This window comes from Homo sapiens, chromosome 1, assembly GCF_000001405.40.
Source record: "Homo sapiens chromosome 1, GRCh38.p14 Primary Assembly".
NCBI classification, from domain to species: domain Eukaryota; kingdom Metazoa; phylum Chordata; class Mammalia; order Primates; family Hominidae; genus Homo; species Homo sapiens.
In genome coordinates, this window is record NC_000001.11 from 173873467 (window position 1) to 173891041 (window position 17575).

Sequence of the window (17575 nt, forward strand, 5' to 3'; positions counted from 1 at the left end):
ATTTAGCCCCTCCGGCAGTGTTGTTCCCTTGACAGAGAGACACAGAGCCAGAAGTGAGTCTCCTGGGAGAATGGATGAGCCTAAGCAACCCAGCTCCCAGGTATGGAGTTGTGGATTTAGAACTGCTTTGGTGGTTGGAGGAATTGCTACTGTGTATGAATAGAAAATAATGAAAAAGAAAAGATGTAGGAGAGGTAACAATGGCCCTGTTAAAGAAATACTGTATTTTTTTTCCCTGAGGGTAGCAGAAGTTTAATATTAAAATTATACAGAGACATCACCAGAAAGGAAAATTGCAGACTGGTATTTCTACCAAGCATAGATGCAAATATTTTGAAAAGAACATTAACAAATTAACACTGATAGCTGGTTTAACATTTTAAAATTAATCATTGTAATCTGTTTCATTAATAAGGAAAAAGTGATAAATTACATGTGGCAATTTTGATAAATACAGAAAAGAACAATTGGCTAAAACTCTTAGCAAACTAGAAATACAAGGGAACTGGCCGGGCGCAGTGGCTCGCGCCTGTAATCCCAGCACTTTGGGAGGCCGAGGCAGGTGGATCACCTGAGGTCCGGAGTTCGAGACCAGCTTGACCAACATGGAGAAAACCCGTCTCTACTAAAAATACAAAATTACCCAGGCATGGTGGCACGTGCCCGTGATCCCAACTACTCCAGAGGCTGAGGCAGGACAATGGCTTGAACCCGGGAGGCGGAGGTTGCTGTGAGCCGAGATCACACCATTGCACTCCAGCCTGGGCCACAAGAGTGAAACTCCGTCTCAAAAAAAAAAAAAAAAAAGAAATACAAGGGAACTTTCTTAATCTGATTGAAAGTATCTATCTAAAAAATCTATAGAAAACATCTTTTTTTTTTTTTTGAGACGGAGTCTCGAGTCTCACCCTGTCGCCCAGGCTGGAGTGCATGGAGTGCAGTGGTGCAATCTCGGCTCACTGCAAGCTCCACCTCCCGGGTTCACGCCATTCTCCTGCCTCAGCCTCCCAAGTAGCTGGGACTACAGGCACCTGCCACCACGCCCGGCTAATTATTTGTATTTTTGAGTAGAGACGGGGTTTCACCGTGTTAGCCAGGGTGGTTTCGATCTCCTGACCTCATGATCCGCCTGCCTCGGCCTCCCAAAATGCTGGGATTACAGGTGTGAGCCACTGCACCCAGCCACTGCACCCAGCCCAGAAAACATCTTAATAGTAAATTATTGAAAGCTTCCTTCGTGTGATTGGGAATGAGACAGAATGTCTGCTACCACCACTTCTACCCAGCTTTTTATTTGTAGTCCTAGTCAATGCAATAAAGCAAGAAATACAAATTTATAGCATAAGGATGACAAAGCAAGAAATAGAACTTTTGTTATTAGTAGACAGCCTGACTTGTTATGTAAAAAATGCAAAGTTAAATACTGTATTTGATTACTTTTTTTTTAAAATTCTTGCTTGTGGGCGTGCAGGAAAATACACTTTCGATGTCAGCAGAGTTTGGGAAATATAAAAAAGTAAGATTGTGGAACTCTTTCCTGATTATAATAACCACACTGTAGACCTGATAGTAATAAAAAATAATCCCAGAAAACCACATACAGGTAATTTGCAGGTAATTTAGGACCTGGAATCGAAAGTCTGATTATTATGTGTGTGTGTGTGTGTGTGTGTGTGTGTGTGTGTGTGTGTGTGCACGTGTGTACTGTATATACTATATGTAGTATACACACACTATGTATACTATAGTATGCACACACTATATATACTATATATACTATGCGTAGTATACACACACACACAGTTATGAAGTTACTAATTTGTAGCATTTTATTTATATATATATGTGTGCATATATATATATATTTTTTTTTTTTTTTGAGGCAGTCTTGCTCTGTCACCCAGGCTGGAGTGCAGTGGTGTGATCTCGGCTCGCTGCAATCTCTGCCTCCTGGGTTCAAACGGTTCTCCTGCCTCAACCTCCTGAGTAGCTGGGATTACAGGCGCCCGCCAGCACACCTAGCTAATTTTTGTATTTTTAGTAGATAGCAGGGTTTCACCATGTGGGCCAGGCTGGTCTTGAACTCCTGAACTCAGGTGATCCACCCACCTCAGCCTCCGAAAGTGCTGGGATTGCAGATGTGAGCCACCGCGCCCGGCCTGCATTATATATTTGTAAACAAATTGCTTATGCTTTTTTTTTTCTGAGACAGGGTCTCACTCTGGTTGACCAGGTTGCATTGCACTGGTGCGATCTCAACTCACTTTAGCCTCAACCTCCTAGGTTCAGGTGATTCTCTCCCCTCAGCCTCCTGAGTAGCTGGAACCACAGATGCGCACTACCATGCCCAGCTGATTTTTTTGTGTGTTTTTAGTGGAAATGGCGTTGCACCAGTTTGCCCAGGCTGGTCTCAAACTCTTGGACTCAAGCAATCTGCCTGCCTCAGCCTCCCAATTTGCTGGGATTACAGGCGTGAGCCACTGTGCCCAGCTGCTTACACATTTTTATGTGTGTTTGCTATTTCATGTACTGTATCTTGTCATTTATTTTCTTCCTGAATATTTTGTTAGACTAACACATTCTAGAAAGGATAGGAATGATGGGTTTTTTTCTATTTTCTTTGCAACTCTCCTTAGCAACTAGTATGAGTTTGCTCATTTTTTTTTTCTCACAGGTCTGATTGAATGATTTTTTTTAAAGCTCATGAACTCACCAAGTAGAAGACAATAAATTGTGAACATTTTTGCCTTTAAAAAGTAAACACTGTTGAATTAAGATTACATAGCTCATGTTTCTAGCCTCTGCATTACACTGATAGTATCTTGTCTAATTTTTAACTAAACCACTGAATTATTATTACTTTTTTTTTTAGATGGAGTCTGGCTCTGTCATCCAGGCTGGAGTGCAGTGGCGCAGCCTTGGCTCACTGCAACCTCCACCTCTCTGGTTCGAGCAATTCTCCTGTCTCAGCTTCCCGAGTAGCTGGGACTACAGGTGCATGCTACCACGCCCAGCTAATTTTTGTATTTTTAGTAGAGACAGGGTTTCACCATATTGGTCAGGCTGGTCTCAAACTCCTGACCTCAGGTAATCCAACCGCCTCAGCCTCCCGAAGTGCTGGGATTACAGACATGAGCCACCGTACCCAGCCTAAACCACTGAATATTTATTGTGTGCATGGTATAGTAATAGCCGTAAGACATTGTTACAAACTGTGTTTTTTAGTTTTGATAAGATGTTAGAGAAAATATTAGGAGCTTGGAGGAAAGGTAATTTGGCTCATATTATTAGGGCCCTTTTTCTCCTCATCTCTCAAATATGGTATGATAGCAATGCAGAGGAGGCTGTTGAGCAGATATAGGCGTGTGTCACTAATTGACAGTATATTCTGAGAAATGCTAGACCATTTTGTCATTGTGCAAATATAGAGTATATTTACACAAATTTAGATGGTATAACCTACTGCACACCTAGTTCATATGATATATCCCGTTCCTCCTAGGCTGCAAACCTGTATAGCATGTTACTGTACTGAATACTGTAGGCAGTTACAAAGTAAATATTTGTGTATCTAAACATAAATTACTGAATATAGTAAATATTTGTGTATCTAAACATAGAAACGATAGTGTAAAAATATTGTATTATAATCGTATGGAAGCACGGTTACATATGTGGTCCATCACTGACCAAAATGTTATGTGGTACATAACTGTAAATTCAGTAATGAGTCAGACGTTACAACTTAATGGGGGCATAAGACAGACTAACAAATACACACAAAAAAACTGTAAGACTCTACAGTATAAACTTGAGTAATAGTGTTGTGGGACTAGGATTGTTTAAAAGGCAATGGAATAATGAAATCAGTGTCCACTTAAGGAAAGTGTTGTCAAGATTTTCTTTCTTTTTTTTTTTTTTTTTTTTTTTTCCGAGACAGGATCTCACTTTGTCGTCCAGGCTAGAGTGCAGTGGTATGATCATGTCTCACTGCAGCCTTGCCTTCCCTGGCTCAAGCAGTCCCCTCACCTCAGCTCCTGAGTAGCTGGGACCACTGGCATGTGCCACCACACCCGGTTAATTTTTTTGTTTTTTGTAGACACAGGGTTTCACTGTGTTGCCCAGGCTGATCTCGAATTCCTGAGCTCAGTAGTGGCTCACGCCTGTAATCCCATCACTTGGAAGACCAAGGTGCAGTCCTCCCACCTTGGTCTCCCAAGGGGTGAGACTACAGATGTGAGCCACCACATACAGCCTCAAGGATAGGGTAATATATATGCCTTAATGGATATGAAAGTTTAATATGGTAAGTCTACTCACCAGTTTTTTTCCTCTACTACAGAGAACTAAAACAGGGCAAGGACTTACAGTAAGAATGAATATTGATAGATTTGAAGAACTTCCTGATTATGGGGGTGATTAAACTGGAACACACTAATAAAGTTACTCTTTTACTTGAAAACATTCTGTAGCTTTTTCTATGACATGAAGGTTAATATACTTGGCCTAATTTTTCAAGTGATTTACAGTCTTTTTAACCCAACTTTTCCCACCACTCATCAGCATTCACTGTCTCAAACAGATAGACTCTCCCTGTGTCAGAACCACATTAAACTATTTCTCTTTCTGCATCTAAAGTCTGAATGCCTCATTTCTTTTCAGGTGTCTGGGTTCAGCCAAGGTCCAGCTCCTAGTTTTATCTGTCCTAACTGCTCCAGTCCTCTTTGATTTTTCCTTTTTAGGCTACTATTATAGCATGGTACAATACAATTTTTCCTAATTCTCTAGACTCAATATATGTTGTTCCTTTTTTATTTGCATTAGTTTTGTGTCTCCTGTTAAACTGAAATCTCCTTGAGAGCAGAGACCACATTTTCTTTCCTCTTTTTGTTTTTGTCTTTTGACAGTTTTAGTACCAATAAGTCTTTGTTTATGCATTCTATTTTCCCAGGGAAAGGAGAAGGGAAGGAAGGGGAAAGAGTCAGCCTATGTTACAGAATGATTAGAAAATGGGCAAGGAAGTACCCAGTACAGCACAATCAACCATCAAATAAACACACCCCAGTGATGGGGTCACCAATGCCCAAAGAGGCTCTGTCTCCTGCAGTTCAGGAATAAGGGGAAGAGACCAGGAAAAGAACAGATAGGTACAGACTTTCCTACCCTCCCTTCCACCTCATAAATTCAAGATTTCACATAAAGCTTTAGCTTCTAGTGGTAAACATTAAGTTACATTTGTTCATCTCCTGTTAAGCAATCTTGTGGCTACTTTGACATAAATTTCTTACACCTGTATAAAAGTTCTTGAGTGACTTGGATATAAATTCAACATTTAGGCTGGGCGCAGTGGCTCATGCCTATAATCCCAGCACTTTGGGAGGCTGAGATGGGCGGATCACTTGACATCAGGAGTGAGGTTCAAGACAAGCCTGGCTAACATGGTGAAACCCCTTCTCTAATAAAAATACAAAAACATTAGCCAGGCATGGTGGCGGGTGCCTGTAATCCCAGATACTTGGGAGGCTGAGACAGGAGAATCGTTTGAACCCGGGAGGTGGAGGTTGCAGTGAGCCGAGACCATGCCATTGCCCTCCAGCCCGGGGAACAAGAGCAAAACTCCATCTCAAAAAAAAAAAAAAAAAATCAGCATTTATTCTCTTTCTTGGCTTCCTGACCCCACTTTCTACATGGAAAGCCCCCAGTTGCTTCTCTCTACTTTAGGATTAAAGATGAGGTAGGTTTAATCCATCCAGAATCCAGCAGTGTCTTAAGGGTTTAGCATGAATCACATCAAGAAAAATGGTCTTGACTCAGGAGATTGGAAACAAGGGATGGGGGTTTCCTAGCTTCTTCAGGATTTTTGCATCAATCATTTCAGAGTTGTGTAGTTGCCCTAAAAATTAAATATGTATATGCGTGGGTGTGTAGGTTTTCTTTTGGGGGTCGATGGAAAAGAGGGAGAAGGGTAGGAGACAAATTTTTAGGACAGAAGATCTGGCCCAATAGGTAATAGGGAAAGGAGAAAACTAAAGAAAGGATGGTTCAAGATCCCCACTTTTAAGAAGAGGGCTCCGCAGTCTAATGTTTCAGATTTTTTGCCAGGTACAGAACCTTCTGTCAAAGATGTTTTGGCTATTTTTCTCTCAATACAAAAAGAAGTTTGTAAACCCCAAAAGAACACGGAGAAGTAGTTTGCAACTATCGGCTGGGCGAGGTGGCTCACACTTGTAATCCCAGCACTTTGGGAGGCCCAGGTATGTGGATCACCTGAGGTCATGAGTTCAAGACCAGCCTGGCCAACATGGTGAAACCCCATCTCTACTAAATATAAAACATTAGCCAGGCATGGTGGTGGGCACCTGTAATCTCAGCTACTCGGGAGGCTGCAACAGGAGAATCACTTGAACCTGGGAGGCAGAGGTTGCAGTGAGCCGAGATGATGCTACTGCACTCCAGCCTGGGCGACAAAGCGAGACTGTCTCAAAAAAGAACATGGAGAAAGACCAGCACATTATATTTACACAAACTAGGCCACCTAGCAATCACCAACTCTGAAGTCCTACAAAGCCCAGACAAATACAATAACTAATGGGGTGTGGGGGAAAGCATTTAGGGGAAACAGGAACACAGGATCAGGCACACACTACCCAAGTGCATTTTATTGCATTTGAGAGACCACGTTTTCTTATCTTCTTTGTATCTCTGACATTATCTTCTTAGTGCCTGATTAATAGTTGTTGTTTTATCTCTAAGTAATTCTAAGTAACTAAGTTTACTTAGTAGTTGCCCAATAAATAGGCACCTACTAAATAGGGAGTTATTTAGTTACTTGTAAAATCCTTAATTTTGGAGATCTTTCAAAAACATTAATACACCAAACCAGATGACTTTTTAAGGCCCTTCAGTTAACTTTGGGTCTGCGGTTAGTAACTGAAAATTAGAATGGTAGAAGGCTTTGAAGTCCATGTCAAGAATCTAGACTGATGTTTGTTTTAGAAAATATGGAAACCTTTCATTTATATGGAGTTTTCATATAAATTATATGGAGTAATTCATTAAGAAATAGCTATTGAACCAAGCACTGATCAAATTCCTAGATATTTGGCAGTGCAGAATGTCCCTGTGCTTACAACAGAGTTTACAGTCTAATAGGTAATTGTCAAGTGAGAGGAATGAAATAATCCACCTCTTGACAACAGAGAGAACCATGAGGCTAGCCGTTTTTGCCTTTGCTTCTTTTTAAGTTTAAAACAATAAAACTACAAAAAGTATATTGCTGCCATTGACAAGGACCCAATCTGCATTTTGTGGTGTTTGTTCTTCTATTGCAACTTCACTGCAGTAATTTTTTGGATGAGACTGATCATAATGTGTGATGTTTGTGCTCACAGTTTATCACTGATTACTAAAATGCATTTACTTTCTGCATGTGGATAATACTGGTATGATATTACCTTCCTTAGAGTTGGGGAGATTTCTTTTTTTCTCTTTTTTTTTTTTAATTATGCTTTAAGTTCTAGGGTACATGTGCACAACGTGCAGGTTTGTTACATATGTATACATGTGCCATGTTGGTGTGCTGCACCCGTTAACTTGTCATTTACATTAGGTATATCTCCTAATGCTATCCCTCCCCCCTCCTCCCACCCCACGACAGGCCCCAGTGTGTGATGTTCCCCACCCTGTGTCCAAGTGTTCTCATTGTTCAATTCCCACCTATGAGTGAGAACATGAGGTGTTTGGTTTTCCGTCCTTGTGATAGTTTGCTCAGAATGATGGTTTCCACCTTCATCCATGTCCCTACAAAGGACATGAACTCATCCTTTTTTATGGCTGCATAGTATTCCATGGTGTATATGTGCCACATTTTCTTAATCCAGTCTATCATTGTGGACATTTGGATTGGTTCCAAGTCTTTGCTATTGTGAACAGTGTCGCAATAAACATAACGTGTGCATGTGTCTTTATAGCAGCATGATTTATAATCCTTTGGGTATATACCCAGTAATGGGATTGCTGAGTCAAATGGTATTTCTAGTTCTGGATCCTTGAGGAATTGCCACACTGTCTTCCACAATGGTTGAACTAGTTTACAGTCCCACCAACAGTGCAAAAGTGTTCCTATTTCTCCACATCCTCTCCAGCACCTGTTGTTTCCTGACTTTTCAATGATCGCCATTCTAACTGGTGTGAGATGGTATCTCATTGTGGTTTTGATTTGCATTTCTCTGATGGCCAGTGATGGTGAGCATTTTTTCATGTGTCTGTTGGCTTCATAAATGTCTTCTTTTGAGAAGTGTCTGTTCGGCCGGGCGTGGTGGCTCACACCTGCAATCCCAGCACTTTGGGAGGCCGAGGCGGGCGGATCACAAGGTCAGGAGATCAAGACCATCCTGGCTAACACGGTGAAACCCTGTCTCTACTAAAAACACAAAATATTAGCCGGGTGTGGTGGCAAGCGCCTGTAGTCCCAGCTACTCAGGAGGCTAAGGCAGGAGAATGGCGTGAACCCGGGAGGCAGAGCTTGCAGTGAGCTGACATCACACCACCGCACTCCAGCCTGGGTGACAGAGGAAGACTCTGTCTCAAAAAAAAAAAGAGAAGTATCTATTCATATCCTTTGCCCACTTTTTGCTGGGGTTGTTTGATTTTTTCTTGTAAATTTGTTTAAGTTCTTTGTAAATTCTGGATATTAGCCCTTTGTCGGATGGGTAGATTGTAAAAATTTTCTCCCATTCTATAGGTTGCCTATTCACTCTGATGGTAGTTTCTTTTTTTTTTTTTTTTTTTTTTGAGACAGAGTCTGGCTCTGTCGTCCAGGCTGGAGTGCAGTGGCGCAATCTCTGCTCACTGCAAGCTCTGCCTCCCAGGTTCACGCCATTCTCTTGCCTCAGCCTCCCGAGTAGCTGGGACTACAGGCACCCGCCACCACGCCCAGCTAATTTTTGTATTTTTAGTAGAGACAGGGTTTCACCATATTAGCCAGGATGGTCTCGATCTGCTGACCTCATGATTCGCCCACCTCGGCCTCCCAAAGTGCTAGGATTACAGGCATGAGCCACTGTGCCCAGCCCTGATGGTAGTTTCTTTTGCTGTGCAGAAGCTCTTTAGTTTAATTAGATCCCGTTTGTCTATTTTGGCTTTTGTTGCCATTGCTTTTGGTGTTTTAGTCATGATGTCCTTGCCCATGCCCATGCCCTGAATGGTATTGCCTAGGTTTTCTTCTAGGGTTTTTATGGTTTTAGGTCTAACATTTAAGTCTTTAATCCATCTTGAATTAATTTTTGTATAAGGTGTAAGGAAGGGATCCAGTTTCAGCTTTCTACATAAGGCTAGCCAGTTTTCCCAGCACCATTTATTAAATAGGAAATCCTTTCAGAGTTAGGGAGATTTCTTAGGGTATTGTTACCCTCAAGATTATAAATAATATGAATTTGTAATGTTTAATAATAGCTAACATTTATTCAGTACTTTAGTGTATTAACTCATTCAATGCTCAAAGCAACTAGTGAGGCAAATGCTATTACTATATTCACTTTACAGGTGAGGAAACTGAGGAATAGAAGTGTTAACTAACCTGCTCCAAGTCACACAATAAATAGAACTCAGATTTGAACACAGGTTCCAGCATCTTTAATTGCTATGTAATATTATGCATTCATCGCATAATATTTTGGGACCATTGAAGGTCCTAAAAGTTACCATTGTATTTAGAAAAAAGAGTACTGTTGGCTGGGCCTGGTGGCTCAAGCCTGTAATCCCAGCACTTTGGGAGGCCAAGGCGGGCAGATCACCTGAGGTCGGGAGTTCGAGATCAGCCTGACCAACACAGAGAAACGCCATCTCTACTGAAAATACAAAAAATTAGCCAGGCATGGTGGTGCGTTCTGTAATTCCGGCTACTCAGGAGGCTGAGGCAGGAGAATTGCTTGAACCCGGGAGGCGGAGGTTGTGATGAGCCGAGATTGCACTCCAGCCTGGGCAAAAAGAGCGAAACTCCGTCTCAAAAAAAAGAAAAGTGTACTGTTATCATGTTCAATTCTCGTGAGAATCCTCTAAAGCTGGCAAATCATGTGATAACCTTTGTACCTTATGGATGAGAAGACAGCCTTAGAGAAGTTATTCTGTTTTGTCCCTGGTCACCCAAGACCTTTAGTGGGATGATTCCTCATTCTTTATGTGAACTCAGTTTTTTTTATCCAGGGAAATGAAGCAGAAAGAAATATTAATATGAAACAAATAAAATAATCTTAAAACCTCAGTCTTAGTATTCAACCCTTGACTTTACATACTGCTTCCCAAACCTGTTGAGAACTGCCTCTATTGGAAAGGCTGAATAGCACCATCAGCATAGGAAGGGACAAAACACATTTTTAGAAATTAAAAGGGCACAAGATCTTCTATAGTGTCTATCTTAGGGGAAAAAGTACCGGCACAATATTAATTGCTAACTAGATGAATCTTGCTCCAGTTACTCCAGAGTCAACTTTGACATTTTCTTCTCTTTGCATTGGTACTTTATTCTTTGTTAAACATATAATTCCCTCCTACATATTTAAAAAGGTTTTTATTCCTCTAATATAATGACTTCAGAAGTCAGTCATTATTAACTCAGGTTAAAAAAATAATTTCTGATTGATTTTTTTAATACAGAATTTTGAACAAAAAGCATTTCTAAATCCAAAGATTTTTTTTTTTTTTTTGAGGTGGGGTCTTGCTTTGTCACCCAGCCTGGAGTGCAGTGGCCTGATGACAGCTTATTGCAGCCTTGGCTTCCCAGGCTCAAATGATCCTCACACCTCAGCCTTCCCAAGGAGCTGGGACTACATGTGCGCACCTCCACACCCAGCTAATTTTTTATTGTTATTTTTTGTACAGGTGGGGTCTTGCTATATTGCCCAGGCTGGTCTCAAACTCCTAGGCTCAAGTTATTCTCCCACCTCAGCCTCCCAAAGTGCTGGGATTATAGGCATAAGCCACCACATCTGGCCTTAAATCCAAGATTTTTAAGTAATTTATTGAAAGGAATATGTTCATACTGCCTCCCAGTTTTCGGATAAAAGAAACCCATGCCCTCAGACAATTTACTCTGAAGTCAGTTAAACTTTAGTAGTCTTTAGAGTGAAAATAATATGTTCATATGATACTGAAATATTTTACATAAAAAGGAATATTGTCACCTACAAATTGTATACATTTTTATAAAGCTAGCTACTGCTAGATTAAAATGTGGTATTAATGATAATGTCACAATTTATAATATGTTGCCATTATATATTCTATACTATCTGATATAGTAAATGGTAGCCATTAGCCACTTGTCACATGTGGCTATTTAAATTTAAATTGTAATTAACTGAAAGCACTTAAAATTGTAAAAATTACTCAGTTGTATTAGCCATATTACAAATACTCAATAGCAACAGGTGGCTAGTGGCTACTGTAATGAATGGGGTAGAGCATTTTCATCATCATTGATAGTTCTGGCTGGGCGTCGTGGCTTACACGTGTAATCCTGGCACTTTGGGAGATCGAGGTGGGTAGATTGCCAAAGTCCAGGAATTCAGAACCAGCCTGGGCAACATGGCAAAGCCTCGTCTCTGCAAAAAGTACAAAAATTATCTGGGAGTGGTGGTGCGTGCTGGTGGTCCCAGCTACTCAGGAGGCTGAGGTGGGAGGATCATCTGATCCTGAGGAGGTCTAGGCTGTAGTGAGCCGTGATCACACCACTGCACTCCAGCCTGAGTGAGAGACCCTGTCTCAAAACAAAAACAAAAACAGATAGTTCTGTTAGACCAGCACTGCCTAAGTATTTGATTGTCTAGAATATAATTGTAAGATTAGGATCCAGGGTATAGTATAAGTGGGCTCAGTTTCTCCTCACATTACTGTAAAATAGTACATTCAGCAGGGGTTTAATAAGCATCCAGTTTGTCAGCCAGAAAGTAACTTTACTGTGTTGTTCTTTTATAGTAATGGAATAGAGTAGTCTCAATTTTTTAAAAATTATTATGGTAATATCTTTACTTTTTGGTAATAATTTTCTGTTTGATCCGCCACTAAAAAGGTACATATATCTTAGTAACAAGTAAAAATAGATTTGATTGCTTTTAATATGTATGCTTAATAATATTTGTTCTTTCTTGGTTATTTTCCTTACCTGGTACAGGTAGAAGAGTCAGCAATGATGGGAGTAAGTGGCTATGTGGAGTATCTCCGAGAGCAGGAAGTATCTGAGCGGTGGTTCCGGTACAACCCTCGTCTCACCTGCATCTATTGCGCCAAATCTTTCAACCAGAAGGGAAGCCTGGACCGCCACATGCGCCTACACATGGGGATCACACCATTCGTCTGCCGCATGTGTGGCAAGAAGTATACCCGGAAAGATCAGCTGGAGTATCATATCCGCAAGCACACAGGCAACAAGCCCTTTCACTGTCATGTCTGTGGCAAAAGTTTCCCCTTCCAGGCCATCTTGAATCAGCACTTTCGCAAAAACCACCCTGGCTGTATACCCCTGGAGGGGCCTCACAGCATCTCCCCTGAAACAACTGTCACATCTCGAGGACAAGCTGAGGAAGAGTCACCTTCACAGGAAGAGACAGTTGCTCCTGGGGAAGCTGTCCAGGGCTCTGTGTCCACCACTGGGCCAGACTGAAACATCCAGGGGGAGGGGGCTGACCCTCTTCCCCTATGAGCCATAAGCAGCCAGCATCAGAGCCATGGGCTGATACTTAGATTCACAAAATGCCACATCACTAGGCCAGAAGATGCTCCCAAGATGTTGCCAAACTGGAGGATCAGCAACTTACACAAAAGCACTAAAGGCTCCTCCCTTCTTATTGCCCGCCTCACACTTTGGAAAATAATCAAGCAAATCAACTTTCTAATTCAGGGATCAACAGCCTTGGTTTGTTAACTTTATAAGAAAAAAGGTTTTTTAACAAAACGATGATGATAAATGGTCATTTATCTATCAGTCATGTTTGAACACTGTACTTTGGTCCATATCATCTTGGTGGCTATAATTGCCCGGATCTAAAAAATGCAGCAGGAGCCTCAACCATCCGAAGCAGCCAACCGCAAGAGAGGAGGTAGTCATGATGGTGATGAGGAGGAGAAATTTCTCCTCTTCCTTCCCTGGCATAACATGCATTTTTGTGTTTCAAGAAAAAAATGAATACTGGTGGTTCTTATTTTGAAAGGTTAGGCTTTATCTTTCCCCTGACTAGGCATCTAATACTTTGCCTGGTTATTTCATATAATCAGCCATCTTGAAGCAGTATTCTAGTGGACAACATCACCTGAAGCACTTGGCAACTGGGAGTGAAATGAGCAGCAAAGTGTATGCAATAGGTACTGCTACATTTGGGGGGCTTGAGTGTTGTGTTGAGGAAGAGGAGAGCAGGGAGGGAAGTGTTTTTATGTTTTGCAAATATCAAACAGCACAGAGCCGTTCTGCAACTTCCTGACTGGTATTTGTAAACCATAGTGCTACACATCCTTGGGTAATGGCTCTAGTTCAGGTGAATTAATGTGTTAGGCTGACTACCAAAGTTTCATCTAGTCTCTTTGGCTCCTATTTTCACGTTCAGCAATATTGTAATCAAAAATGTCACTTTCCAGTGAAATGAGCCTGGATTGTATTTTTAAATCCACAGGTCTCCATATTTGATAACTTTTATATGAAGTTTTAAACATGTTTTTTCTGCAGTATTGTGGTTGAAGAAATTCAACACTATGGTTCTTACTGCAACCACAATTTCATTTCCTTATACATATGTAATAGTTTATATTTTCAGGCATATAGAAGGACCTCACTTAAAACTATGTCTCGGGTCTGCAAACCTAGTAATTCATAAACCAACCATCAGCAAACCATAGCTGGTGACTCCAAGAGCTTTGCTTTTTAATAATATACTACAGGGCACTTATCAGAAAACATCATGCAGAATCATGTTGCAATAAATGATCAAAGGATCAATTTTGGTCAGGTTTGGTTACTTAGTCATTCCTAAGATTTTTAAAACTTCAAGGGACCCTTTTAGTAATTCTGGGTATTTCTAAGATTCTTAATCCAGCACTGAGAGAAAGAACTTAGCAAACATGTAGAGCTTTGGATACCCCGTCTTTCATGAAGTGAGAGAAGGAGGAATATTAAGGGATGCCGGCAAATAGATGCTTATAACTTACAGTGCAAGTTGAAAAATCTCTAGCTTCTGTTGACGGAGCACTAGTTGTTGGGGTTCTTTTAAGTATGTAATGGTTTAAGAAATTGTTTCAGTGCAGAGGCATAGATGACTGTAAAAGAGATTTGGCAGAGGGACAGGTTGTACCTGCACTGGTGAACCATCTGTGAGAATGTTAGTCATGTGCTCCTTTCCTGAGATTGCTTTGTGGTATGTGAAAAGGTGGGTAGAAAAGAAAGAAATCTCTTTGAGATAAGAAATTAGAATGCAAAGGGTAGATCTTAAGCAATCTGAGAATTGTACATGTACATAAAGCTGCACCCTCTCACAAGAGAAAGGTTATTTTATCTTCTGAAAAAGCATAGAAATGCATCTTTTATGGGAAGATAATGATGCTACCATTTAATAAGAGCCTACCCTTAAAGGCAGCATTGAAACTGTATTTTGTCTTTAGAAGACATAGACTGGTGCATCCTCCGCTTTAGTTAGACAACAGCATGATAAGGAAAAAACTGTCTTCTAAAGCCATCTTTAGGGACTGGCTGTGCTCTGTGGCATAGAAAAGGTAAAGTTGAATTAGCCAAAAATCCTTAGGGAAACAACTGGTAATAAGGTTTTCAGTGGACAGATTTTGTCATTACTAAATAGGCAGTGAGGTGAGAAGTACAGATTATGCTGCTTTGGATGGAGCCTTTAAGCCTACCAAAAAACTTTTAAGTCCATCCTACTTTTGAGAAATAGTATGCTAGAAAGTTCTGTTTTTCTTTTTCTTCTTTTTTATATTTTTTAGAGACTGTGTCTTCCTCTTGTCACCCAAACCAGAGTGCAGTGGTGCAATCATAGCTCACTGTAATCTTGAACTCCTAGGCTCAAGTGATTGACCTGCCTCAGCCTCCAGGTAGCTAGGACTATAGGCATGCACCACCATGTCTAGCTAATTTTTAAATTTTTTTGTAGAGACGGTGTCTCTACAAAATTTGCCTAGGTTGGTCTTGAACTCCTGGCCTCAAGTAATCCTACCACCTTGACCTCCCGAAGTGCTAGGATTACAGGCATGAGCCAGTGAACTTGGCCTGGAGAAAGAATTCTTTGTTGCTTTGTTAGTTTCTTAGATTATATGTGAGAAAATGGAGCTTTTTAAACTATTACCAAATTTTAAAGGTGAAGTGCAGTAATTTCTGTAAAGAGAAACTTTGCAGCATTTGTCAATTCTCCTTCCAGGGTTAGCAACAAACAAATGAGGTAGGGACTATCTCATTCATGTGGAAATGCTATGAATGTTTGGTGGGTTTCCCCTCCCTTTTCTTTTCATTCACTTTAAATAGCCTTTTCCTATATTGATACTGTGAATAGGGTGCTTCCTGGTCATCTAGGACCACTTTAGCACAATCATGTTTGCTGGTTCTCTCAATTGGCCTAGCCAGAGCCACAAAATTCATGAAAATTTAAGGCAGGCTAGCTTTTAAACAAATTAAAACTTCTGAAAACAATTTCAGCTTTTTCGTTAAAAGAGATGTTGTTATTCTAAATAACTGTCCAAGACTCTTACCCACATACACTGTGACATTGTCCTAGTTCTTAGCTAACAACACATTGGTCATAGGAGTTACTGATGTTCTATCTACATTAATGAACAGCTATTGGTGTATGCACAGAGGATACCTCTTAAGGATGTACTAAATGGACTTTGTTTGGTTGATGCTGAAAATTAATTACCAAATCTTAACTTGCACGTGTTACCTTGTGAAGGGAACTGCATTAGCAATGAGAGCTACATCATCATGAAGTACTTTAATGCCATGAAATTGCAAACACTGGGACTGTTTTCATTTATTGAGTGGCACTTAGTAGCAAAGGAGCTATCCAGTATTCTCAGCAAAGAAGAGAGACGGAAGTATATTAATCTATTTTCATACTAAGATGTTCCTTTATTCTGTCTGAACTCTAATACCAGTATAAAATATAGCATTGGCATGAACAGTTAATGCTGTACTTAGGCAGAAAGGCTCCTTCTAATGACTTGTTCTCTCTTTACTCAGAACCGTATTTACCTCTGAACCAAGTTGAATTTTATTTTATCCAAGTTGCAAACTACCCCATGCCATTTTTATTATAATAGAGGGTTAAATCTAATCTCAAATACATAAAGGTAAATTAGTTCATAGAGGATAAAGTTTGGGAATGAAGAGAGCAGTTAAGGAAAATTTTATTTTTTGTCATTTTTTAAATGTTTCCAGTTCCCTCTACATCAGTGAAACAGGGTTTTCCAAAGATGGTTTGAAGATAGAAAAAACTTTTTCCCCCCGACTTCATAGTTGACATCTGGTATTGGTTGGAATTGGTCTGGTGGCAGAGTGAAGTAGGGAACTTCATTTTTTTCTTTTTTTTCTTAAAGGCAGGGTCTCACTATGTTGCCCAGGCTGGTCTCAAACTCCTGGGCTCAAGTGGTCCTCCTTCCTCAGCCTCCTGAGGAGCTGGGACTACAGGCGTGTGACCACACCTGGCTGTAAATGTCATTCTTAATAGCTGAATAATCTTTGGTCAAGAAGTAACTTTTCCAGAGTTTTAGCTGTTACTTGACATTAATTGGGTTTCTTTTAACTGGTGAAAACTGTATTTATTTTGTTTGACCAGACTGTCTAACTTAAATGAAAGCAATGGATAATGGAAAGGAAACTGAACAAAGACAAAAGTCTTCTTCATCATAGTGAAAGGCATTTAATCAGGAAGAGTTGGAATCCTGGAAGTTTTTCTTTTTTTCAGGTACAAGAGGCATGATTTTTTTCTCTTCCTAAAATGTCCTTCCCCTTATCTGTGTACTTATTAGTTCAAGGAATAACAAATGAGTCTTAATTGAACTTAGTCTTTGGAAATTGAGCTCTTTATTTAGGTTATATGTGAAAGAGTTTAAAATATTGAAATACTTTGGTTGCTAAGCAGATTTAGAAAAGCAACAAGCAATTGTCGGGCAAATCCCTAGGTTTGAGAAGATGTCCTCAGCAAAATATACCCTTAGGACTTACGGAATTAGATCAGGGTTCAGCAAACAGTAGTTTCCAGGCCAAATGCTGAGGCTACTTGCTTGTGTAAAGAAAATTATAATGGAATAGGGCCACACTTACTTGTTTAGGTATTGTTTATGCCTTCTTTCTACTACAATGGCAAAGTTGAGTACTTGTGACAAAGATCACGTGGCTACAAAGCTTGAAAATATTTACTGTCTGGTACTTGTTAGAAAAAATTTGCCAACTCCAAGAAAGAATTACCTCCTAAAGTTGTTACTCATGACATTTTGCCTTTATAATAGTTTGGTTGAAGTTTTAAATTCATGTTGTCACATATACATGTTTTCTTGAAAGAGTTTGCCAACTTTTTCTAGATCCTCT

At 40.3% G+C, this 17575-nt stretch overlaps 1 protein-coding gene across 12 annotated transcripts in view; it reads left to right on the forward strand.

Moving 5' to 3' along the window:
- The window catches only part of ZBTB37 (zinc finger and BTB domain containing 37), a 35466-nt gene that overhangs the window by 5385 nt on the left and 12506 nt on the right, over positions 1–17575 (forward strand). For 5 of the 12 annotated variants that reach the window (NM_001369846.1, NM_001346115.2, XM_017002557.2 and 2 more), the window contains one exon: positions 12170–17575. This exon is cut by the window's right edge and continues 12506 nt beyond it. In NM_001369846.1, coding sequence (NP_001356775.1) covers positions 12170–12173 — 4 coding nt within the window. In that variant the 3' untranslated portion in view covers positions 12174–17575. The other 7 variants (NM_001395200.1, NM_001395201.1, NM_001395202.1 and 4 more) reach the window with 3 other exon arrangements.